The 25368-nt window shown below is 52.5% G+C and overlaps 1 protein-coding gene across 2 annotated transcripts, besides 4 other annotated features; it reads right to left on the reverse strand.

Moving 5' to 3' along the window:
* Positions 920–969: an enhancer, noted in NCBI's record as "active region_14569". NCBI's record gives its function as "activates an Ori minimal core promoter by ATAC-STARR-seq in GM12878 lymphoblastoid cells {active_cell/tissue: GM12878}" and the evidence as "EXISTENCE:reporter gene assay evidence [ECO:0000049][PMID:35858748]".
* Positions 5208–5707: an enhancer, noted in NCBI's record as "H3K4me1 hESC enhancer chr19:38729145-38729644 (GRCh37/hg19 assembly coordinates)". NCBI's record gives its function as "activates a minimal SCP1, AML or CMV promoter by ChIP-STARR-seq in primed H9 embryonic stem cells {active_cell/tissue: H9 hESC(primed)}" and the evidence as "EXISTENCE:reporter gene assay evidence [ECO:0000049][PMID:30033119]".
* Positions 10947–11823: an enhancer, noted in NCBI's record as "H3K4me1 hESC enhancer chr19:38734884-38735760 (GRCh37/hg19 assembly coordinates)". NCBI's record gives its function as "activates a minimal SCP1, AML or CMV promoter by ChIP-STARR-seq in primed H9 embryonic stem cells {active_cell/tissue: H9 hESC(primed)}" and the evidence as "EXISTENCE:reporter gene assay evidence [ECO:0000049][PMID:30033119]".
* Positions 17940–23077, reverse strand: PPP1R14A (protein phosphatase 1 regulatory inhibitor subunit 14A). Of its 2 annotated transcripts, NM_033256.3 has the most exons (4): positions 22842–23077; positions 19597–19677; positions 19009–19041; positions 17940–18149 (listed from the first exon to the last, which is right to left on the reverse strand). In NM_033256.3, exons 1-4 carry the CDS (start codon positions 23040–23042, stop codon positions 18021–18023), a joined length of 444 nt encoding a protein of 147 aa, NP_150281.1. In that variant the 5' UTR covers positions 23043–23077; the 3' UTR covers positions 17940–18020. The 2 variants fall into 2 exon arrangements, with proteins under 2 accessions (NP_150281.1, NP_001230876.1); NM_001243947.2 differs by lacking the exon at positions 19597–19677.
* Positions 22869–23056: a silencer, noted in NCBI's record as "fragment chr19:38746806-38746993 (GRCh37/hg19 assembly coordinates)". NCBI's record gives its function as "represses an EF-1alpha promoter that drives an FKBP-Casp9 reporter gene in an ReSE screen in K562 erythroleukemia cells {active_cell/tissue: K562}" and the evidence as "EXISTENCE:reporter gene assay evidence [ECO:0000049][PMID:32094911]".

Consider the following 25368-nt stretch of genomic DNA (forward strand, 5'->3'; position numbering starts at 1 on the left):
GAGTAACAGACTCATCACCAGACAGTGATGTCCAGAGGGGTCCAGGTGGGGTTAGGGGACACAGGCAGAGGGGTCGGGGCTGGGACAAGGGGGACACAGGCAGAGGGGTCTGGGCCAGGATTGGGGAGCACAGGCAGAGGGGTTGGGTTTGGGACAAGGGGGACTCAGGCAGAGGGGCCCAGGTGGGATGGGGAGCACAGACAGAGGGGTCCAGGTGGGATGGGGAGCACAGGCGGAGGGGTCGGAGCTGGGACAAGGGGGACACAGGCAGAGGGGTCCGGGCCGGGATTGGGGGGCACAGGCAGAGGGGTCGGGGCTGGGACAAGGAGGACACAGGCAGAGGGGTCCGGGCAGGGATTGGGGGGCACAGGCAGAGGGGTCGGGGCTGGAGCGGGGGAGACACAGGGCACTGTGGGAGCCCAGAGGCGGCTGTCTCCTGGCCTAGCCTGACAGTCAGGGATGCCTTCCTGGAGGAGAGGACACCCGGCCTGCATGTGAATCCTTTTGAGTCCTGACCCCCTGATCTACCCAGACACAGGGCAAGGTTCCTGCTCTGACCTCTTGGGGCCTTAATGCCTGATCTTCTTAATGCCCATCACTCAAGCTTTGAGGAACAAACCCTAAAAGTCTCAACCTGTGGTCACTTCTCCTAACCCTGGAACCCAAGGGTTTGCCCACCAGAGGGCGCTGTGGCCCCAGTCTTTGTCCAGCAGAGGCTGCTTCGGAAGCCTCAGATCCGGGAGACATCCTGCAGGCCATGGGGCTGCCCGCAGAGACACTGGGCCCCCAACCCTGAGCCTCAGACCCTGCCCAGGACCTGGTCACCAGGGTATCTCCCTCTCCTTCTCTCTCTCACACACACACGCCTCTAATCCAAGGTTCCGGTGGACCTGGAATCACAGAAAACTCTGCCCCATACCCACTGGGTCCAGCTTTGGCCTCTGAAGGAAATGCAACTGCTAACAGCCACTTCTCCCCTCTCCTGCCCGCTACAATTCAGAGGAAGCCTTCCCTAAGTGGCCCTTGGGATGTTCAGATGTACCTTTCAGAAGTTTCCTGCCCAGGCCCAGTGCGGTGGCTCACGCCTGTAACCCCAGCACTTTGGGAGGCGGAGGCAGGCGGATCACCTGAGGTCAGGAGTTCAAGACCAGCCTGGCCAACATGGTGAAACCCTGTCTCTACTAAAAGTACAAAAAATAACTGGCTGAGCATGGTGGCAGGTGCCTGTAATCCCAGCTACTCAGGAGGTTGAGGTAGGATAATAGCTTGAACCCAGGAGGCAGACACTGCAGTGGGCTGAGATCATGCCACCTGCACTCCAGCCTGGGCAACAAGAGTGAGACCCTGTATCAAAAAAAAAAAAAAAAAAAAAGTTTCCTGCCCAGATGGGGATGCTGAGGCGCAGAAGAGGTGGGGCTGGGGGGCCATGCAGTATCAGGGCAGCAACAGTAATAATCGTAACAGCAAATAAAGACTCATTGGTTCAGCTCCTCCTGAGTCAGGACCTGTACTGAGCTTTAACAAGCTACACACATCACTGAATCATACAGACCACACTTGGGAAGCAGGCACCCAAATGTCAGCAATGAGCTGAGACGGGAAGCCCTCAACCTTCATGGCAGGGAGAAGTAGGATTCGAACCCAGATCTGGTTGGGTGTGGTGGCTCAAGCCTGTAATCCCAGCATCCCAGCACTTTGGGAGGCCAAGGTGGGAGGATTTTTTTTTTTTTTTTTTTTTTTTTTTTTTGCTTGATTTTGAAACAGAGTCTCACTCCGTCGCCCAGGCTGGAGTTCAGGGGCGCCATCTCAGCTCACTTCAACCTCCTCCTCCTTGGTTCAAGTGATTCTCCTGCCTCAGCCTCCCAAGTAGCTGGGACTACAGGCATGCGTCACCACATCTGACTAATTTTTGTATTTTTAGTAGAGATGGGGTCTCACCATGTTGGGCAAGCTGATCTCGAACTCCTGACCTCAAATGATCCACCCACCTCGGCCTGCCAAAGGGCTGGGATTACAGGCATGAGCCACCGTGCCTGGCCAGGAGGATTGTTTGAGCCCAGGAGTTTGAGACCAGACAAGGCAACATAGTGAGACCCCATCTCTACAAAAGATTAAAAATAAATTAGCCAAGTGTGGTGAGGGGCACTTATACTCCCAGCTATTCAGGAGGCTGAGGCAGGAGGATCACTGGAGCCCAGCCTGGGCTTCTGAAGGAGACATGACTGCTAAGGTCGAGGCAGTAGTGAGCTATGATTGTGCCACTGCACTCCAGCCTGGGGTGCTGAGGGAGACTTGACACAGACAGGAGAGTGAGACTCTGGCTCAAAAAAAAAATAAGAAAGAAAGATATATCAGGCTGGGAGCGGTGGCTCAGGCTGGGCACAGTGGCTCAAGCCTGAAATCCCAGCACTTTGGGAGGCCGAGGCAGGCGGACCACAAGGTCAAAAGATTGAGACCATCCTGGCCAACATGGTGAAACCCCGTGTCTACTAAAAATACAAAAATTAGCTGGGCGTGGTGGCACGCACCTATAGTCCCAGCTACTCGGGAGGCTGAGGCAGGAGAATCGCTTGAACCCAGGAGGCAGAGGTTGCAGTGAGCCGACATTGCGCCAAGGCACTCCAGCCTGGCGACAAAGCGAGACTCCGTCTCAAAAAAAAAAAAAAAAAAAAAGGGAAGGGAAGGGGAGGGGAGGGAAGGGAAGGGAAGGGAAGGGAAGGTCTCTCTGATTATTGGTGGGGATGCAGACTGTGGAGGCAAAGGGGAGAGCAGAGACCAGGGAAGTGGTGCCAAGATGGGTCAGAGGGGAGGGGGAGCAACAGTGTGGGTATGAGAAAGGGATGGGAAGTAAGAGAATGTGGCTGTTATATGACCACCAAAGTGGTGGCCTAAAACAACAGAAATGGGCGGGCAAGGGTCATGCCTGGAATCCCAGCACTTTGGGAGGCCGAGGAGGGCAGATCACTTGAGGTCAGGAGATCAAGACCAGCCTGGCCAACATGGTGAAACCCCGTCTCTACTAAAAATACAAAAATTATCTGGGTGTGGTAATGCATGTCTGCAGTCTCAGCTACTCAGGAGGCTGAGGCAAGAAGATCACTTGAGCCTGAAAGTTGGAAGCAGTAGTGAGCTATGATCACACCACTGCACTGCAGCCTGGACAACAGAGAGAGTCTCTCTCTAAAAAAAAAAAAAAAAAGAAAGAAAAGAAAAAGAAGAAATAGGTTCAGCAGAACACAGATTCTAGAAAGAAAAAAGAAGCAAATAAAAAATAATTTTAAAAAATAAAACAGATTGATTTGAAGGAGTGAAGAAGTGTGGTGGCGGATGCCTGTAATCCCAGCTACTCGGGAGGCTGAGGCAGGAGAACTGCTTGATGAACCCAGGAGGCGGAGGTTGCAGTGAGTCGTGATGGAGCCATTGCAATACTTTGTCTCAAAAAAAACAAAAACAAAAACAAAAACAAAACAAAACAAAGCAAAATAAACAGAAATGTATTCTCTCACAGCGTAGAGGCCAGAAGTCCAAAGTCAGTGTCACTGGGCTGAAAGCAAGGTGTGGGCAGGGCTGTGTTCCTTTGGGAGGCTCTGGGGGAAAATCTGTTCCTCTCCAATTCCAGCTTATGGGGGCTGCTGGCAGTCCTGGGCTTGGCCACATCACGCCAGTCTTCAAGGCCAGCATCTCCACATCTCTGCTCTGCCTACACAGCACCTTCTGTCTATGTCAAGTCTCCCTCTGCCTCCCTCTTAAAGGGCACATGTGATCATTTTTGGAACCCACCTAGATAATTCAGGAGAATCTACCTCCCCTCAGGTCCCCCTTCTTTTTTTGAGACAAAGTCTCACTCTGTCACCCAGGCTGGAGTGCTGTGGCACCATCATAGTTCACTACAGGCTTGACCTCCTGGGCTCAAGCAATCCTCCCACCTCAGTCTCCCAAATAGCTGGGACCACAGGTGCACACCACCATGCCCAGCTTTTTTTTTTTTTTTTTTTTTTTTTTTGAGATGGAATCCCACTCTCGCCAGGATGGAGTGCAGTGGCTCCATCTCGGCTTACTGCAACCTCCACCTCCCAGGTCCAAGCGATTCTCCTGCCTCAGCCTCCCGAGTAGCTGGGATTACAGGCACATGCCACCATGCCCAGCTAATTTTTGTATTTTTAGTAGACACAGGGTTTCACCATGTTGGCCAGGATGGTCTCATTCTCTTGACCTCGTGATCCGCCCACCTCAGCTTCCCAAAGTGCTGGGATTAGAGGCGTGAGCCACCAAACCCAGCTTTTTTTTTTTTTTTTTTTTTTTTTGGAGAGAGAGTGTCTCATTTTGTTGCCCGGGCTGGTTCAAACTCCTGGGCTCAAGTGATCCTCCCACCTCAGCCTCCCAACACCCTGCGATTACAGGCATGAGCTACCGCACCCAGCCAGATCCCCATGTTAAGATGCTTAACTCAATCTCATCTGCAAAGACTCTTTTTCCTTCTACGGAACTAGGATCTCTTTGGGGAGGCATGATTCTGCCTCCCTCAGCAGAGTGGACAGAATCTGAGGGTGGATAATTTACAAATCTGACTGTGGAGTGTCAAGAATGAGGATGATGCCAGGGTCTGTAACCAGAGCAATCAGAGGCCCCTGAGACGGGGCCGCATGAGAAAGGGGCAGGTTAGGGAGAGGCCAGGAGATCCAGAGGTGTTGGGTCTGAGATGCGCATCAGACATCCAAGTGTTGTTGCTGGGTGAGTCTGAAGGTCAGAGAAGAGGTCAGGCTGGAGAGAATTTTGGAAGACCATTGATGGTACCTAAAGTCATCTTCTCCATGCAGGCATTCTCCCCAGGGGAGCTCACTCAGCCTTCTCACTTTAGGTAACATCAACAGTCTTCCAAAAGTTGGAGACCCCGGCTGGCCAGCATTGACAGGAGAGAGAGTGAGGAGGAACCAGGTGAGAACGAGGCCGGAGACAGAGGAGGCAGGAGGTGAGAGGAGGCCAGAGACAGCGGCCCTGTAAAGAAAACATTCAGGCTGTTGGCCGGGCGCGGTGGCTCACGCCTGTAATCCCAGCACTTGGGGAGGCCAAGCGGGTGGATCACAAGGTCAGGAGTTCGAGACTAGCCTGGCCAATATGGTGAAACCCTGTCTCTACTAAAAATACAAAAAATTAGCCGGGCCTGGTGGCGGGCGCCTGTAGTCCCAGCTACTCCAGAGGCTGAGGCAGGAGAATGGCGTGAACCTGGGAGGCGGAGCTTGTAGTGAGCCGAGATGGCGTCACTGCACTCCAGCCTGGGCGACAGAGCGAGACTCTGTCTCAAAAAAAAAAAAAAAGAGAGAAAACATTCAGGCCGGCATGGTGGCTCAAGCCTGTAAGCCCAGCACTGGGAGGCTGAGGTGGAAGGATCTCTTGAGCCAAGGAGTTTTCAAGATCAGCCTGAGCAATATATTGAGACCCTCATCTCTACAACAAATAAGAAAATTAGCAGGGCATGGTGGTGCACGCCTGCAGCCCCAGCTACCGGGGAGGCTGAGGAGGGAGGATCACCTGAGCCTGGGAGGTCAAGGCTGCAGTGAGCCATGATCACGCCTTGCGCCACTACACTCCAGCCTAGGCGACAGAATGAGATTCTTTTAAAAAAATAAATATAAGGCCGGGAGTGGTGGCTCACACCTGTAATCCCAGCACTTCGGGAGGCCAAGGCAGATGGTTCAACTGAGGTCAGGAGTTCGAGACCAGCCTGGCCAACATGGTGAAACCCTGTCTCTACTAAAAATACAAAAAATTATCTGGGCGCTGTAGCAGACGCTTGTAATTCCAGCTACTTGGGAGGCTGAGGCAGGAAAATCACTTGATCCTGGGAGGTGGAAGTTGCAGTAAGCCACTATCGTGCCACTGCACTCCAGCCTGGGAGACAGAGCAAGGCTCCGTCTCAAAAATAAATAAATAAAATAAATAAACATTTTATAAAAAGAAAGCAGACGGGCGCGGTGGCTGGCTGGGCGCGGTGGATCATGCCTGTAATCCCACCACTTTGGGAGGCCAAGGCAGGTGGATCACAAGGTCAGGAGATCGAGACTAGCCTGGCCAATATGGTGAAACCCCTTCTCTACTAAAAATACAAAACTTAGCTGGGCATGGTGGTGCGTGCCTGTAATCCCAGCTACTCGGAAGGCTGAGGCAGGAGAATTGCTTGAACCAGGGAGGTGGAGGTTGCAGTGAGCCAAGATCGAGCCACTGCACTCCAGCCTGGGCGACAGAGTAAGACTCTGTCTCAAAAAAAAAAAAAAAAAAAAAAGAGAAAAGAAAAGAAAATATTCGCTGGGCACGGTAGCTTATGCCTGTAATCCCAGCACTTTGGGAGGCCTAGGTGGGTGGATCACCTGAGGTTGGGAGTTTGAGACCATCCTGACCAACATGGAGAAACCCAATCTCTACTAAAATTACAGAACTGCCGGGCGTGGTGGCACCCGCCTATGATCCCAGCTACTCCAGAGGCTGAGGCAGGAGAATCACTTGAACCTAGGAGGCAGAGGTTGCGATGAGCTGAGATCACGCCATTGCACTCTAGCCTGGGCAACAAGAGCAAAACTCCATCTCAAAAGAAAAAAGAAAGAAAGAAAGCATTCAGGGGAGTGGGAGCCAGTGTTGCACCGGATGTAGCTGAGAGGTCAAGACAAGCAGGAGGTGTGATGTTGGACCCAACACCATGGGGACCCCGACAAGAGCATTTCCAGAGTAGGAACAGCAAGATGTGAACATTTGATTGGAAATGGTGTAAGAGAGAACTGAGAACGTCTCTTGTGAGAAATTTTGCTGTAAAAGGAAACGGAGAAATGGGGCTGGAGCTGGAGGAAGTCCAGAGAGTTTTTGTTGTGATTTTGTTTTAATGTGGAAGAAGTGACGATGTGTCTGTGTGCCCGTGGGAATGAGTACGTGGGGGCTGGGGACCTGCTGGAGCAATGACCTTCAGGAAGCAAGAGAAAATGGGGAAAATAGGCCAGGCACGGTGGCTCAATTTGGGAGGCCGAGGTGGGCAGATCACTTCAGCCCAGGAGCTCGAGACCAGCCTGGGCAACATGGCAAAACCCCGTCTCTACAAAAAAAAAAAAAAAAAAAAAAAAGGTAGCCGGGCATGATGGCACGTGCCTGTAATCCCAGCTACTACTTGGGAGGTTAAGGTGGGAGGATCATCTGAGCCCGAGGAGGTTGAGGTTTCAGGGAGCCATGATGGTGCCACTGCACTCCAGCCTGGGTGACAGAGACCCCATCTCAAAAAAGAAAAAAAAAAAAAAGAAAATGGGGGAAATCCCCAAGGGGGGTGACGTTAGAGACAGCTGATCCATCCCAACAGGACCCAAAAGCACTTACCAGCACAGAAGCCAGGAGGTGGGGCAGTCGGCAGGAGACGAGGGAATTAGGGTGTTCTCTTCTAGTGAAGCTTGTGAGCAAGGATGGGGAAAGGAGAGAGACACACTTGGAACCCTCACTATGAGCAAGGGAGGTATGGAGCGTGGCTCCCACCCCAGTGGACGCCTGGAGGGGAGGGTCAGGAATTTAAAGTGAAAACTTGTGTTTCCTCCAACCATGCTAACCAATGAGGGCACACACTTGCAGAAGACAGAGAGTTGCCAGCACTTTGGGAGGCCTAGGGGGGCGGATCACCTGAGGTCAGGAGTTCGAGACCAGCCAGGACAATATGGCAAAACCCCATCTCTACTAAAAATACAAAAATTAGCCGGGCATGGTGGCACACGCTTGTAATCCAGCTACTTAGGAGGCTGACGCACAAGAATCACTTGAACCCGGAAAGCAGAGATTATAGTGAGTCAAGATTGCGCCACTGCACTCCAGCCTGGGCAAAAAGAGTGAGACTCTGTCTCAAAGAAAAAAAATACAAGGGGAAGGGAATGAGACACCACCTTTTGATGGGAGAGTGAGAAATAATTTGGCATGTCACAGTGATATTCTCTTCCATTTTCCATAATCAACTCCATTGGTGTTTTTTGTTGTTTTTTTTGTGTTTTTTGAGACGGAGTCTCCATCTGTCACCCAGGCTGGAGTGCAGTGGTGTGATCCCGGCTCACTGCAACCTCCACCTCCCGGGTTCAAGCAATTCTCCTGCCTCAGCCTCCCGAGTAGCTGGGATTACAGGTGCATGCCACCACGTCCTGCTAATTTTTTGTATTTTAGTAGAGACGGGGTTTCACCGTCTTGCCCAGGCTGGTCTCAAACTCTTGAGCTCAAGCAATCCACCTGCCTCGGCCTCCCAAAGTGCTAGGATTACAGGTGTGAGCCACTGCGCCCAGCCAACTCAATTGTTATACTCTACATTTAGGTCTTTATTCTATCTGGAGTCTATTTTTGTATGTGCTGCTACATAGGGACACTTTAGTAGGATTATTTTTAAATTTTTTAAAAAATTTCAATAGTTTTGGGGTACAGGTGGTTTTTGGTTACATGGATAAGCTCTTTTTTTTTTTTTTTTTTTGAGATGGAGTCTTGCTTTGTCACCCAGGCTGGAGTGCAGTGGCGCGATCTCGGCTCACTGCAAGCTCCGCCTCCCGGGTTCATGCCGTTCTCCTGCCTCAGCCTCCTGAGTAGCTGGGACTACAGGCGCCCGCCACCATGCCTGGCTAATTTTTTTGTATTTTTAATAGAGACGGGGTTTCAACATATTAGCCAGGATGGTCTCAATCTCCTGACTTCGTGATCCACCCGCCTCGGCCTCCCAAAGTGCTGGGATTACAGGCGTGAGCCACCGCGCCTGGCATGGATAAGTTCTTTAGTGGTGACTTCTGAGATTTTAGTGCACTTGTCACTGGAAGAGTGTACACTGTATCCAGTATGTAGTCTTTATCCCTCACCACCTCCCAACCTTCCCTGCCCCAAGTCCCAGAGTCCATTATATCATTCTTATGCCATTGTGTCCTCATACCTTAGCTCCCGCTTACAAGTGAGAACATACGGTTTGTGGTTTTCCATTCCTCAGTTACTTTACTTAGAATAATGGCCTCCAAGGCTGGGCGCGGTGGCTCACGCCTGTAATCCCAGCACTTTGGGAGGCCAAGGTGGGTGGATCACATGAGGTCAGGAGTTCGAGACCAGCCTGACCAATATGATGAAACCCCTTCTCTACTAAAAATACAAAAAAATTAGCCGGGCGTGGTGGTTCATGCCTGTAATCCCAACTACTCAAGAGGCTGAGGCAGGAGAATTGCTTGAACCCAAGCGGCACAATCTCGGCTCACTGCAACCTCCGCCTCCTGGGTTCAAGCAATTCTCCTGCCTCAGCCTCCCAAGTAGCTGTGATTACAGGCATGCACCACTACACTCTGCTAATTTTTGTATTTTTACTAGACATGGGGTTTCACCATGTTGGTTAGGCTGGTCTCGATCGCCTAACCTCAGGTGATCCACCCGCCTCAGCCTCCCAAAGTTCATCTGGAATTTTGATGAAGATTGCTGTGGGCGGGCACAGTGGGCAGCAGCGAGACTTCGTCTAAGGAAAAAAAAATTAGGTGTGATGACACGTGCCTGTAGTCCTAGTTACTTGGGAGGCTGAGGTGGGAGGATCACCTGAGCTCAGGAGTTTGAGGGTGCAGTGAGCTATGATGGTTCCACTGCACTCCAGCCTGGGCAACAGAGTGAGACCGTGTCTCAAAAAAAAGTTCTGCCCATCAACCAATGAGTGCATAAAGGAAATGTGGTACATATACAGCCGTTAAAAGGAATGAAATCATGTATTTTGCAGCCACTTGGATGGAGCTGGAGACATTATTCTTTTTTTTGTTTGTTTGAGAGGAAGGTCTTGCTCTGTGGCCCAGGCCAGAGTGCAATGGCAGGATCTCGGCTCACTGCAAACTCTTGGGCAGATCATGAGGTCAGGAGTTCGAGACCAGCCTGACCAACATGTCGAAACCCCGTCTCTACTAAAAATACAAAAATTAGCCGGGCATGGTGGCGCGTGCCTGAAATCCCAGCTACTGAGGAGGCTGAGGCAGGAGAATCGCTTGAACCCGGGAGGCGGAGATTGCATTGAGCCGAGATCATGCCACTGCACTCCAGCCTCAGTGACAGAGCGATTCTCAGTCTCAAAACAAACAAACAAACAAAAACCACTTCAAGCCGGGCATGATGCGGGTGCCTGTAGTCCCAGGTACTCAGGAGGCTGAAGCAGGTAGGATCGCTTGAACTCAGGATTTCGAGGCTGCAGTGAGCTATCATAGTGCTGCTGTGCTCCAGCCTGGGCGACAGAGCAAGACCCCTTTCTAAAAAAAAAAAAAAAAAAAAAAAAAAAAGATAAGATATGAAAACAAAACAGCCGGGTGCGGTGGCTCACGCTTGTAATCCCAGCACTTTGGGAGGCCGAGGTGAGTGGATTACCTGACGTCAGGAGTTTGAGACCAGCCTGACTAATATGGTGAAATCCCGTCTCTACTAAAAATACAAAAATTAGCCAGGCATGGTGGCGCGTGTGTAGTCCCAGCTACTCAGGAGGCTGAGGCAGGAGAATCGCTTGAACCTGGGAGGTGGAAGTTGCAGTGAGCCGAGATCGCGCCATTGCGCTCCAGCATGGGGGACAAGAGCAAAAACTCTGTCTCAAAAAACAAACAAAGAAACAAAACAGAAAAAGTAAAAAGGAGAAACGAAAATTAAAAAAAAAAAACAAAACAAAGAAATAAAATAAAATAAAACCAATTCACATAGCCACGAGGGGGCGCTGAGGCCTCACGTCCACACGTAGAGGGCTGCGGTGCTTGGAGACAACGTGGCCACCTGGGAGTACGGTTCTTGGGCAAGCGCCTACTGTGCGCCCGGCGCCGTTCTACACAGGAACACAGCGCTTTTCAAGGTAGGCGAGGAGCTAATATTCTGAAGATGGTGGTGGGGGGCGGTGAACAGACAATAGAATAGACAGACCAGAGTGTAATATTTTTTTTTTTGAGATAGGGTGTTGCTGTGTTTCCCAGGCTGGAGTGCAGTGGTGCAATCATAGCTCACTGCAGCCTCAAACTCCTGGGCTCAAGCAATACTCCCACCTCAGCCTCCAGAGTAACTAAGAACACAGGCATGCACCACCACGTCTAGCTAATTTTATTTTTTGTAGAGACAGGGTCTCCCCTGGGCTGGTCTGGAACTCCTGGCCTCAAGTGATCCTCCTACCTCGGCCACTCAACGTGCTAGGATTACAGGCATGAGCCACCACGCCTGGCCAATAAATTCTATAAAAAAATAAATAAATCAGCAGGGCACGGTGGCTCACACCTGTTATCTCAGCACTTTGGGAGGCCGAGACAGGTGGATCATGAGGTCAGGAGTTCAAGACCAGGCTGGCCAGGATGGTGAAACCCTGTCTCTACTAAAAATACAAAGAAATTAGCTGGGCGTGGTGGCAGGTGCCTATAATCCCAGCTACTCGGGAGGCTGAAGCAGAGAATTGCTTGAACCCAGGAGGTGGAGGTTGCATTGAGTAGGGATCATGCCACTGCACTCCAGCTTGGGCAACAGAGTGAGACTCCGTCTCCAAAAAAATTAAAATCAATCAATCGATCGATCGGTCAAGTGACAGGATAGTGACTGAGGGTGCTCCTTAGATTAGGTGCTGCAGAACACCTCTCTGAGATGACATCTACATGATGGTGAGGATGAGAGAAACACGGGGAGAACTGCAGGCAGAGGCAATGTGGCCACGGGTCATGGAGGGGCCGGTAGGTGGGTCTGAGGACGGGAGAGAAGCTGGTGTGGGTGAGGGTCAGACAGCAGAGGGCTGAAGGCAGGAAGGTGACAGGGCGCAGTGTGGCCAGGAGGACTACCAAGGAAAGGCTGTGAAAAGTGGTGACTGTGAAAAGTGGTGACATGAAATGTCTTCAGGATGGGTTTTAATTTTTTATTTATTTAGTTTTTTTGAGACGGAGTCTCGCTCTGTCACCCAGGCTGGAATGCAGTGGCGCGATCTCCACTCACGGCAAGCTCCGCCTCCTGGGTTCACTCCATTCTCCTGCCTCAGCCTCCTGAGTAGCTGGGAGTACAGGCACCTGTCACCACGCCCGGCTAATTGTTTTGTATTTTTAGTAGAGGCGGGGTTTCACCTTGTTAGCCAGGATGGTCTCGATCACCTGACCTTGTGATCCGCCCGCCTCGGCCTCCCAGTGTTGGGATTACAGGCGTGAGCCACTGGGCCCTGCCTCCCCGCCCCCCGCCCCGAGACGGAGTCTCGCTCTGTCGCCCAGACTGGAGTGCAGTGGCATGATCTCGGCTCACTTCAACCTCTGCCTCCCAGATTCAAGCAATTCTCCTGCCTCAGCCTCTGGAATGGTTGGGACTACAGGCATGCACCACCACATCCGGCTAATTTTTTTTTTCTGTATTTTTAGTAGACACGGGGTTCCACCACATTGGCCAGGCTGGTCTCGAACTCCTGACCTCAGGTGATCCTCCTGACTCGGCCTCCCAAATTGCTGGGATGACAGGCATGAGCCAGCACACCTGGCCCAGGGTAAGTTGTTAAATGGCCGGCAAGGTGTCTCACGCCTGTCATCCCTGCACTTTGAGAGACTGAGGCGGGAGGATCACTTGAGCTCAGGAGTTTGAGAACAGCTTGACCAACATAGTGAGACCTCATCTCTACAGAATATTTAAAAATTATCTGGGCATAGTGGTGCACACCTATAGTCCCAGCTATGTGGGAGGCTAAGGCAGGCGGCTTGCTTGAGCCCAGGAATTAGAGGCTGCAGTAAGTTATGATTGCACCATTGCATTCCAGCCGGGGTGACAGAGTGAGACTGTCTCTAAAAAAAAGTAAAATTAAAAAAAGCAAAGAGTAATGTTCGGAATGTCTGCCTTGTTGGTACAAAAGGGGTGACTAGAACATAGCTTCACACTTGTTTGTATTTGCAGAAAAAAATATTGCAGTAATACTAAGAAATTGATTTTCTTTTTAAAATGGTAACCTTTGGAGGAAAGAGGAAGAGAGAACAGGGTGGATGGAGGTTAGGGTGAGAGTGAGAAAAGGCGTTGTCTGGCTGCTGAGTGGGAAACGGACCACAGACGGTGGGAGGCAAGGAGCCAGCTGGGTGGGGAGGCTAGTGTGGCTACAAGGCGGGGAGGGCGGCGCATGGTGGGTTAAGTACACTGTGTCTTTTGGGGCTTTTTTTTTTTTTTTGAGGCGGAGTTCCGCTCTTGTTGCCCAGGCTGGAGTGCAATGGCGCGATCTTGGCTCACTGCAACCTCTGCCTCCCGGGTTCAAGCTATTCTCCTGCCTCAGTCTCCCGACTAGCTAGAATTACAGGCATGTGCCACCATGCTCAGTTATTATTTTTTGTATTTTTAGTAGAGACGGTGTTTCACCATATTGGCCAGGCTGGTCTCGAACTCGTGACCTCAGGTGATCCACCCGCCTCAGCCTCCCAAAATGCTGGGATCACAGGTGTGAGCCACTGCTCCTGGCCCCTTTGGGGCTTTTCTGTATCTGAAGAGCTGTGGTTCAGTGTTCCTAAGGGACTTCCTGCTGGCCAGAAATGGTGACCATAGGAGCTAATGATCAGTCCCCTCCTTACAATGACAGGGTTGATAACAGTGCTTACCATGTGCCTGGGCCTAGCGTATTCTCTGCATTTAAACCTCACAACAGGCTGGGCGCGGTGTCTCCCACCTGGAATCCCAGCACTTTGGGAGGCCAAGGCGGGTGGATCGCTGGAGCCCAGGAGTTCGAGACCAGCCTGGGCAACATGGTGAAATCCCATTTCTACAAAACATACCAAAATCAGCTGGGCTTGGTGGTGTGTGCCTGTAATCCCAGATGCTTCGGAGGCTGAGGTGGGAGGATCATTTGAGCCCCTGAGGCAGAGGTAGCAGTGAGCCAAGATCACACCACTGTACCCCAGTGTGGGTGGCAGAGTGAAACCCTGTCTCAAAAAACAAAATAAAACAAAACCTCACAATAATCCCTGGAGGTAGGTACTATTAAAATCACCTTCATTTTACAGATGTGGACACAGACACAGAGAAGTTAGGTGACTTTCTCAAGATCACACAGCTAGGAAGTGCCACTTGAATCCAGGCAGTAATCCAAAATCCATGTTCTTAACCACTAACCACTGTGGTGTGCCGTTTCCCAATTCTTTTCCTTTTTTTTTTTTTTTTTTTTTTTGAGACAGAGTTTTGCTCTGTTGCCCAGGCTGTAGTGCAATGGCCCAATCTCGGCTCACGGCAACCTCTGCCTCCCGGGTTCAAGCGATTCTCCTGCCTCAGCCTCCCAAGTAGCTGGGATTTTAGGCAAGCGCCACCACGCCCGGCTAATTTTGTATTTTTAGTAGAAACGGGGTTTCTCCATGTTGGTCAGGCTGGTCTCAAACTCCCAACCTCAGATGATCCACCTGCCTCGGCCTCCCAAAGTGCTGGGATTACAGGCGTGCACCGTACCCGGCCCTTTTTTATTTTATTTTATTTTTTTTTTGAGACACTGCTTCGTTACCCAGGCTGCATGCAGTGGTGTGATCGACCTCCTGGGCTCAATCCTGTGACCTTGGCTGGGATTAGAGACTTGAGTCACCCCGCCTGGCCTCCCAGTCCTTCACTGTAGCATTGTTCTCAGTTAATTGTATTGCCCTTTAGATTGGTTATCTCCACGGATTGCGAGCAATCATGAAGACCTTAGTATGAATTAGCCAATATTTTCCCATCACTGAACAATAGCAATTGTTGCTGTGGTTTAAAGGGACCCTGTAGAGCAGGAGTTAAATAGTTGGGCTCTGGAGTCATAATGCCTGGGACTGAAGCCCAGCACCACCATTTCCCAGCCATGTGACTTTGAACAAGTGACATCCCTAATCTGGGCCTCTGTTTCCTCATCTGCAAAGTACCCATTTTCCAGATGAGGATACTGAGGCCTAACACACGCACACACAGGACTTTAGAACCTGGGTTTTGAGCGCATACCGCCTCCACCAGGACAAGGAACCCAAACGAGATTCTGTGAGAGGGAAGTAGAAAGGGTTCTGCAGGCCCAAGTGGGGTGTTCTAGGACACGGGCTTAGGAGCTGGGATGTCAGCAGGAGGGACTTGCCCATTCTCTATACAGTGTGGAGGAAAGGGAGCACTGGAAGCCTTGGGTCCATCTGCACAGAGACAGCAAGGTCACCTGAACGGCTGGACAGGCCAGGGTGCTCCTGGATGCTCCTCCTCAGGGGGGTCTTCTCTTCCTCCCAGACTGGAGCTCAGACACCCGGGATAAGTGCTTAATCCTGGCGGGGCCACTTAATGGCACAGGTGGGGACAGGGCCCTGGGGCCCCAACTTCAGTCAGTGGAGGCCACGTGGGAGATGTACTTTGTCCTTGGTGAGACAGCCCAGCTCTGACCCTGCCCTGGTCCTAAGCACGGCCACAGCCCCACCCCAGCTCCTGATTATACACACCTGGGACCACTGGTCCAACCAGAACCATTAGAATGTAGCCGTGCCATTAAAGGCCATTAAAAGGCCTGGCATGGTGTCTCACACCTGTAATCCCAGTACTTTGGGAGGCCGAGGCAGGTGGATCACGAGGTCAGGAGTTCAAGACCAGCCTGGCCAAGGTGGTGAAACCCTGTCTTTACTAAAAATACAAAAATTAGCCAGGTGTGGTGGTGCACGCCTGTAATCCCAGCTATTCGGGAGGCTGAGGCAGAAGAATCACTTGAACCCAGGAGGCAGAGGTTTCAGTGAACTGAGATCTCGCCACTGCACTCCAGCCTGGGTGACAGAGCAAGACTCCATCTCAAAAAATAAAATAAAATAAAATAAAATAAAATGTTGAAATATAGGCCAGGCCTAGTGGCTCACACCTGTAAACCCAGCACTTTGGGAGGCTGAGGTGGGCAGATCACTTGAGGTCGGGAGTTCAAGACCAGCCTGGCCAACATGGTGAAACCCCATCTCTGCTAAAAATACAAAAAGTAGCCAGGCATAGTGGTGTGCCTGTAATCCCAGCTACTTGAGAGGTTGAGGCAGGAGAAATCACTTGAACTTGGGAGGTAGAGGCTGCAGTGAGCTGAGATCACACCACTGCACTCCAGCCTGGATGACAGAGCGAGACTCTGTCTCAAAAAAAAAAAAAAAAAAAAAAAATACGGCTGGGCGCGGTGGCTCACACCTGTAATCCCTGCACTTTGAGAGGCCGAGGCGGTCAGATCACCTGAGGTCAGGAGTTCAAGACCAGCCTGACCAACATGGTAAAACCCATCTCTACTAAAAATACAAAAAATTAGCCGGGCATGGTGGCGCATGTCTGTAATCTCAGCTACTCAGGAGGCTGAGGCAGGAGAATCGCTTGAACCCAGGAGGCAGAGGTTACAGTGAGCCGAGATCGCACCATTGCACTCCAGCCTGGGCAACAAGAGCAAAACTTCATCTTAAAAAAAAAAAAGAAAGAAAGAAAGAAAAAAAAGACAATGTTGAAATAGAGGGCTGGGTGTGGTGGGTGAATTGCTTGAGCCCAGAAGTCCAAGACCAGTCTGGACAACATAAGGAGACCTTGTCTCTACAAAAAAGTAAAAAAATAGCCAGCCATGATGGCTCACACCTGTAATCCCAGCATTTTGGGATGCCAAGTTAGGAGGATTTATTGAGCCCAGGAGGTCAAGGCTACAGTGAGCTATGATTGTACCACTGCACTCCAGCCTGGGTGACAAAGTGAGGCTCTGTCTCTAAAACAAAATTAGGTCAGGCACAGTGGCTCACCCCTGTCATTGCAGCACTTTGGGAGGCCGAGACAGGCTGATAATTTGAGCCCAAGAGTTTAAGACCAGACCGGACAATACGGCAAGATCCTGTTTCTTAAAAAAAAAAAAAAAAAAAAAAAAAAAAAAAAAAAAGCCAGGCATGGTGGTGCATGCCTGTAGTCCCAGCTACTTGGGAGGCTGAACTGAGAGGATCACCTGAGCCTGAGGAGGTCAAGGCTGCAGTGAGCCAAGATTGCACCACTGGACTCCAGCCTGGGTGACAGAATGAGACCCTGTCTCAAAAAACAAAATAATTTTTTTTAAACAATAAAATTAAAAAACATAAAATAAAATTTTTTTTAAAAAGCCACTACCCACTTCTGATGGCCCAGCTGCTCCCTTGGGACCCTCCAGGCCTCTCCATGCCCCAGCATGAAAGGATTAACCTGGGTTCAATAGGGGGCTTCCCTGATCCAGCTCTGGGGGCCATTGTCCTTCCTGACTGGTGGATGGCCCTGGCAATATTTGGTGTTTTCCCTGGCTCTGCCCCAATATCAATCCCTCCACCCATAAGTTCAGAGTCCTCAGAGAAGGGTATCCATTTCACAGAACTCCTATGCATCCTTCAAAGCCCACCTTAATGCCACTTCCTTCAGGAGGCCCTCCCAGATTTCTTCACCACCCCCAGAGTGAATAGCTCCCTCCCCTCTGCCAAGCTCCCAGGTATCTTGAGCCATTCAGCACACTTTGTTCTGATTCTCACACTCAGGCCCTTCTCCCCCCATAGTGTGTGAGCACCTTGATGCCAGAGACCATCTTCCTCTCATCTTTGCAGCCTCAGTACCAAGGGCCATTATAAGCACAGCGCAGATTTCATGGAGTGGCTGAATGATTTGTTTGCTGTGTGATCACCTGTACTGAGTCAATATCGGTCACCTTTGGTCATGAGCATGCCCCTTGACCCAGATTCCTGCAGGAGCCTGCATATAGGGGCCCTGCTTGCTGGGACTGGGGATGGGGGTGGGGTGGGGAGTTCAAGGGAAGGCAAGGTCTAGGATATAAATCCCAAGGGCGTGGGCTCAGCAGGGCCCGTTCTCATGCTTTCTGGCCCGGGAGGAGTGATTCTCCATCTGGCAGGCCCAGCTGCAGTGCTGGGACAGGGACATGAGCAGAGGCCACAGGAGGAGAGAGGGAGGTTGTGGGGGGAGCTCGGGGAAGCCCATGGTAACCCGGGGGGAGGAAAAACAGCCACACAGTGTTATTGTTACAGAACCATTAAATACAACTTATACACAAGCAAGCTGGGCGGCGTCCGGGGGGCAGGGAGAGTGCAAGAGGGTCAGGGGTGAGCAGTCCGGGCCCGGTCCTGGAGGGGGCTGAGGCTGCCGTCGTGGGAGGGGCTTGGCTGGCGGAGGCCGGGCTGCCTGTGGAGGCCTTGAAGCTTTGCCAGCAGCTCCTGGATGAAGTCCTGAGACAGGGTGGGGGAGCTGAGAACATGGGAACAGTGCGGGGGCACCCTCTGCCCCTGTCCAGCCCAGTCCCTGACCTGGGCGCCTCCTCCTGTTCTCTGATTGTGGGGTGGGGGGAGTTAGGGGCGGAGGCTATAGACATAGAGAGAAAAGTGAGCCGGGAGAAAGACAGAGATGGGGAAAGGGCGATGGGAGGGATGGAGAGAAAGAGCTAGGAAGAGAGATAGAGATCCAAGGAGACAGATACGGAGTGGGGGAGGGGGAGAAACAGACACAGAAACAGAGAGACATGTAGAGATAGAGACAGAGAGAGACATAAGGACAGAGAAAGAAACAGAGACATGTGGAGACAGGTCCCCAGAGATAGATCCAGGGCGAACAGAAATGCAATGACGTTTGTCCCTAGAGCTAGTTGGAGAAACATGAATAGTTTTCCCTTTTAAAGCAGGGAAGGAAGTGGGAGGGGTTGGGCCGCTCAGCTTCAGGGCCTGGGAGGATGGAGGGCCCCCAGAGGTGGGGAAGGGAGCCCGGGGTGGCGGAGGCAGTGACAGGGGAGGACAGAGGGAGACTGAGCCCGAAGGCTGGTGGCCAAAGGACAGGCACAGGAGAGGCAAAAACAGGGCAGATGGGGGAGGACAGAATGGAGCCCCCTCAGCAGATGGGGGAGAGAGGGAGAGAGACAAGTAGGAGGACAAAAGACACCCCTGGAGACCAGAAAGAGCTGCGGAGGGCAGGTTGGGGCCGGGGGTGGTGGGGCCGGGTGGTGTTCCCCAGAGACCCTTCTGCCAGCTTCTTCCCCCTCCCCCATCAGAGTACTTGGGGCCAGAACAGGGAGAGAATGAGGGAGAGAAAACTCACCTCGACAGGTTTCCCACATGACTTCAGGAGTCCCTAAAACCCCCAACCAAGAACAAAACAAAACAGTAAATGACTAACACCTACTCCCCTCCAGCCCCTTCCCTTTCCCAAAAGGCCCCAGCAGCAAGACAAATGGAAGTCAGACTCCAGGGTGGACTGCCCACCAAGCTTCAAGAGAGGAACAGAGCCCAAGGGGCATGTGGATCGACTCAGGGCAGGGGTGAGTTACTAGATCCAGAGAGGGCGAGAGGGTCACACAGCACTTCCCTCCTCTAAAAAGGTATAAGCCATAAGCAAAGACATGGCTGCCAAACTGCCTGGGTTCGATGCCCAGCTCTGCTCCTTCTGAGCTGTGTGACACTGGGCAAGGGATTCAACCTCTCTGGGCCTCATTTTCCTCATGGGGAAAATGGAGCTCACACTAGCGCCTGCTTCGGAGGGTTTTGTGAGGGTTAAGTGAGTGAATACATGTAAAGCCATCACACCAGTGCCCGGCATCTAGTGAGCACTCAGTAAACACGTGAACTATTGCTATTATTTTTAGGGAGGTGCAAAGTGGGAGGCTGGGGGACACGTCCCCCCACCTACCTGGATTTTCCGGCTTCTCTCCTCTTCACTCTCTAACTCCAACAATTCATCAATGTTGATCTCATCGGGCATGTCTGCCTCCTAGGGCCAGGGAGGGAGGGGTGCTTAGGATCCCCTTCCCTCCCTCCCTCGCCTTTGTCCAGGGCTCTGCAGGAGCCCCACCGGCCCCAGGGCCCAGCTGGCGGGTTCTGGAGCATTAATGTGGCAGTCCGGGACAGCACTGCCAAGACGGGACATCTGGGTGTTGGGGGGGAGGGGTGACAGATGGGCTGAGAGAGCCCCGGGGCCCTGTACCAGCCCGATGCCTGGGCCCATGGGCCCCGGGAGCCTCGGGGCTGGCACGGGTCTCTCGCCTTGGCTCTAGTTCCCACAGAGGAAAACAGGCCTAGTGGAGTCCTGGAATGTCAGATTCTGGGATTCGGGAGAGGAGCTGGCTTCTGCCCTTTCAAGGAAAAGTCTTAGCACTAGGTGCAGGGGAGGAGAGGCTGGCAGCCAGCAGCCAGCTGGGGCGGCCCCTTCCCCCAGGGGACAGGAAGGGAGGGGACAGGAAGGGAGGGGACGGCTTGGGCCAGCCCCCAGAGGGCCAAAATGCAGCCTGGTGAGACCGAAGGGAGGACCACCGAGGCCCCTCAAGGTGGGTGGGTGGGATGAGTCATGGCTCAACTCAGCTGCTAAGAGCGGGGCGCTGAGTGTGGCCTCTACAGGCAGTGGCCCAAGCGCAGGCTGGCTCAGTACCCCTGCTGGGAATAGGACCCAGCTGTCCCCAGCTGTCGAGGGAGCAAGAGAGCCTTGGGGTTATGAATCCTTTCCTCCCCAACCCAAAGTCCGGCTGTCGGCTTCAGGCCTGGGGCTTCAGGGCTGGATGGTCCTGGTTCATGTGTGGTGAAGGGGCTTCAGCAAGGACACAGGTGTGTGAGTCTCTGCCAGGGCCACAGCCTGATGCCAAGGGCCTGGGGCTGGCCGAGGATGCAGAGGGACCTGGCATCGTGCAGTGGCTTCGTATAGTGGACTGTGGTCCTGCAGGTGTGAGGTGTGTGGCTCTGGCTTGGGTGTGTGACACATCAGCATGTGTCCACAGTCAGCTGTGGGGCCCACCACCTGAGAATGGCCTCATAGATGCCACCTGCCACTAGCAACCAGATTGGTTCACCTGTATGGGCCCAGGTGTGAGTCTGAGAACAGAGGGACTGCATGTCACCATGGGAGAAGGGCCATGCCTTCCACCATTGTCGCACCATGAAGAGGAGGACTCGTGGGTCCTGTGTACACTGTAGCATACAGAAGTCACAGAAGGCCAGGCGCAGTGGCTCACGCCTGTAATCCTGACATTTTGGGAGGCCGACAAGAGAGAATTGCTTGAGCCTAGGAGTTCAAGATCAGCCTGAGCAACATAGCGAGGCCCCATCTCTTTTTCTTTTTTCTTTTTTTTGAGACAAAGTCTCCTTCTGTCACCTAGGGTGGAGTACAATGGCGCGATCTTGGCTCACTGCAACCTCCGCCTCCCGGGTTCAAGTGATTCTCCTGCCTCAGCCTCCCAAGTAGCTGGGATTACAGCTGCCTGCCACCATGCCCGGCTAATTTTTGTAATTTTAGTAGAGACAGGGTTTCACCATGTTGGCCAGGCTAGTCTCGTACTCCTGACCTCAAGTGATCTGCCCACCTTGGCCTCCCAAAGTTCTGGGATTACAGGCGTGAGCCACTGTGCTCGGCCAATGAGGCCCCACCTCTAAGGAAAAGAAAAAAGAAGTCACTGAAAGTGTGACTTCAAGCAGAAACTCAAGTGATGAAGTACCTGTGTGTGTCAATACATGTAGCTGTGGCTTAGGCTCTTGTGTGCCTGTGAGCAGCGGTGGGTTCTGCAGTTGTATGTCCACCTGTTCCTATAGCTTACAGTTTTTTGTTTGTTTGTTTGTTTTTGAGACGGAGTTTCGCTCTTGTTGCCCAGGCTGGAGGGCAATGGCGGGATCTCGGCTCACCGCAACCTCCTCCTCCCGGGTTCAAGCGATTCTCCTCCCGAGTAGCTGGGATTACAGGCATGTGCCACCACACCCGGCTAATTTTGTATTTTTTAGTAGAGACGGGATTTCTCCATGTTGATCAGGCTGGTCTCAAACTCCTGACCTCAGGTGATCCGCCCGCCTCGGCCTCCCAAAGTGCTGGGATTACAGGCGTGAGCCACCGTGCCCGGTGCTTACACAGTTTTATGTCTGGGTGTAGTTATAAATTCTGTTGGGTTTTGTTTGTTTTTGAGACACGGTCTCGCTCTGTTGCCCAGGCTGGAGTGCAGTGGTGCAATCTTGGCTCACTGTGACCTTGGCCTCTCAGGCTCAAGCAATCCTCCCACCTCAGCCTCCTGAGGAGCTGAGATTACAAGTGCGTGCATGCCACCACGCCCGGCTAAGTTTTAAGATTTTTGGTAGAGACAGGTTTTCCCCATGTTGCCCAGGCTGGTGTTGAACTCCTGACGTCAAGCAATCCTCCTGCCCCGGCCTCACAAAATGCGTGAGCCACTGTGCTGGGCCAATTTCTGTTGTTTTATGTCTTTGAGTGGCTGCGGATCAGCGCTTGTGCTTGAAGGTGGTCAGTTTTTTCTTTAGGAGATAAGGAAGGGCCGTAACTTGAGTCATTTTGTGTTCCAGTGGGGTTGTGCTGTGTCTGCCTACGGCTGTGGCCCATGCCGCTGTGTCTGCGGGTGGCTGTGACTGTAGCATATGTTGAACTGTAGGTGACCCCCCCCCAGCCCCCGCTTGTGTCCTTGTGGGTTTGTGCATGGCTGTTACTTCTGGGCTGTGTCCGTGAGTGGCTATAGCTTCCTTCACTGTGCACATCTGTGTCTGCTTTTGCTTCCTTTGCCGTGGGTCTCTGTGTGGCTGTATCTCCCCTGTCACCATGTCTGTGTTTGGCTTTATGACACCCCCCTTCCCCCACTCTTTCTCCAGACGTGGCGGTTTCAGCTCAACTTAGCCTCCTCCCTCCTCATGCTAAACCCCTGGCCCTCCACAGGCGTTTGGACACATCTCTGGAGACCCAAGTCTTTGTGTGTTGCTCTCGGTGTGTCCACAAGCACAATGCCATAGAGCACGGATGGCCAGGCCAATGAGTGCCCGGCCCTGGGGCGCTCGTCCTCTTGTGCAGACCAGGCTGGCCGTGCACCAGCGAGTGTGCACCGAGACCCCAAGGGCGTGGGGTCTCCGCGCCCGGGCTCTATCTGTCCCCGACCACCCCCGAGCCCTCCCCGGGCTCACCATGCCGCGGTACAGCTCCTCCAGGCGCCCGTCGATCCACTTCTCCACGTCCAGCCGCCGCTGCAGCTCCCGCCGGTCATACTTGACGGTGACGCGCGCGTGCCGCTTCTGCAGCCCCCCGGGACTGCCCCCTGGCCCGCGGGCCCGCGATGGAGACTGCAGCTTGCTCAGCACGCGCTTGCCCAGCCGCTGAGCTGCCATCGCGCTGCTGGACCCAGCCTGGCCCCGCGCTGTGCGCCTTCGCCTCGCGCCCCGGGTGCTTCTTACGGGCCAGGGCGGGGCTAGCCGGGGGCGGGGGCTCGGGCTCGCCGGGAGGTCTGCCCCACCCCGGCCGCCTCAGGCCTCAGTTTCCCCGTCTGCAGTGCGAGAGTAGGCCGCTGCGTCGGCTTGAGGCACGCAGTCGTGCGAAGTTGAGGTATGGGCGGGGACCCAGAGTCCCGGGCGGGTCCCTGCATCGGGGGCTCCCGGGCCGGGATCCTGTGGGGCGGGGGCCTGGGACAGACACTCGGGACCCGGCCTGTCTGCGCCCTCTGGCGGTGGCGGGGTGGGGGGCTGTTGGTGCGGGAGCGCCTGCGCCGCTGTCGCTGTAGAAGGTCGAGCGGTCACTTGTTCCTTCGTTCATTCATTCACTCATCCATCCATTTGTTTGTTCACTCATTCCGTTCAACGAATTTTTTTTTTTTTGAGTCGATGTCTCTCTTTGTCGCCCAGGCTGGAGTACAATGGCGCGATCTCGGCTCACCGCAACGTCCGCCTCCCAGGTTCAAGCGATTCTCCTGCCTCAGCCTCCGAAGTAGCTGGGATTACAGGGATGCACCACAACACCCGGCTAATTTTTGTATTTTTAGTAGAGACGGGATTTCGCCATGTTGGCCAGGCTGGCCTCGAACTCCTGACCTCAAGTGATCTGCCTGCCTCCGCCTCCCAAAGTGCTGGGATTACAGGCGTGAGCCACCGCCACTGGCCCGGTTCAACGAATATCTATTAAGTATCCACTCTATACCAGACACTGCTTTACGCTCCAGGGATAGAGCAGGGAACAAAACAGACAAAACCAGTCCCACGCAGTTGACAGTTGTAGCCGGGATACATGAGAAACACAGTAAGTACGGTATTATACAGTTTATTATCATATAAGTGCTTTGGAGAAATATAAAGCAGAGAAGGAGAAATGGAGTGAGGGTAAGGTTGCAATTTTAGCGAGGGTGGCCAGGGAAGTCCCTTACTTCAAAACAGTCTTCTCACTTCTAATTATAAGCAGCAATAATTATACTCTAAAATTTAAATGTGGCTGGGCGCAGTGGCTCACTCCTGTAATCCCAGAACTTTGGGAGGCCAAGGAGGGTGGATCACGAGGTCAGGAGTTCAAGACCAGCCTGGCCAACATGGTGAAACTCCATCTCTACTAAAAATACAAAAATTAGCTGGGCCTGGTGGCACATGCCTGTAATCCCAGCTACTCGGAAGGCTGAGGCAGGAGAATCGCTTGAACCCGGGAGGTGGAGGTTGCAGTGAGCCAAGATAGCACCATTGCACTCCAGCCTGGGCAACAAGAGCGAGACTCTGTCTCAAAATAAATAAATAAATAAAATAATAATAAATAATTTTTTTAAAAAGGCCAGGCATGGTGGCTCATGCCTGTAATCCCAGCACTTTGAGAGGCCGAGGTGGGCAGATCACGAGGTCTGGAATTCAAGACCAGCCAGGCCAACATGATGAAACCCCATCTTTACTAAAAATACAAAAAAAAAAAAAAAAAAGCCAGGCGTAGTGGTGTGCACCTGTAATTGCAGCTACTGGGGAGGCTGAGGCAGGAAAATTGCTTGAACCCAGGAGGCAGAGATTGCGGTGAGCCAAGATCGCACCACTGCACTCCAGCCTGGGTGACAGAGCAAGACTCCATCTCAAAAAAAAAAAAAAAAATTGTAGAGACAGGGTCTCCCTATGTTGCCTAGGCTGTTCTCCAATTCCTGGGCTCAAGCGATCCTCCCACCTCGGCCTCCCAAGGTGCTGGGATTATAGGCATGAGCCACCTCACTCCACCAGCCAGCCATAATGTAAAACTTTTGAGTTTCAAAGAACATCATCAAGAAAGTGAAGAGACAACCCATGGAATGGGAGGAAAAAAATTGCAGTCATGAAACTCATAAGGTGCTGGGACGAGCCACCACACCTGGCCAAACTATACACTTTAAAAAGGTGAGTTGGGCCAGGCACAGTGACTCACGCCTGTAATCCCAGCACTTTGGGAGGGCAAGGCGGATGGATCATCGGAGGTCAAGAGTTAGAGACCAGCCTGGCCAACATGGTGAAACCCCATCTCCACTAAAAATACAAAAATTAGCTGGGCATGGGGGCACATGCCTATAATCCCAACTACTCAGGAGGCTGAGGCAGGAGAATCGCTTGAACCTGGGAGGGGGATGTTGCAGTGAGCTGAGATCATGCCATTGCACTCCATCCTGGGCAACAAAAGTGAAACTCCATCTCTAAATAAATAAAGGGTGAGTTGTATGGTATGTGAGTT

The sequence above is a fragment of the Homo sapiens genome, chromosome 19, assembly GCF_000001405.40.
Source record: "Homo sapiens chromosome 19, GRCh38.p14 Primary Assembly".
Taxonomy (NCBI): domain Eukaryota; kingdom Metazoa; phylum Chordata; class Mammalia; order Primates; family Hominidae; genus Homo; species Homo sapiens.

Excerpts from the sequence above, each read along its gene's own strand:
- PPP1R14A (NM_033256.3), bottom strand. The coding sequence starts at position 23,042 with ATGGCAGCTCAGCGGCTGGGCAAGCGCGTGCTGAGCAAGCTGCAGTCT. Across the intron at positions 19,678-22,841 it reads AGGAGCTGTACCGCGGCATG|GAGGCAGACATGCCCGATGA; the intron begins GTGAGCCCGGGG and ends CCCTGGCCCTAG. Across the intron at positions 18,150-19,008 it reads CATGTGGGAAACCTGTCGAG|GACTTCATCCAGGAGCTGCT; the intron begins GTGAGTTTTCTC and ends ACCCTGTCTCAG.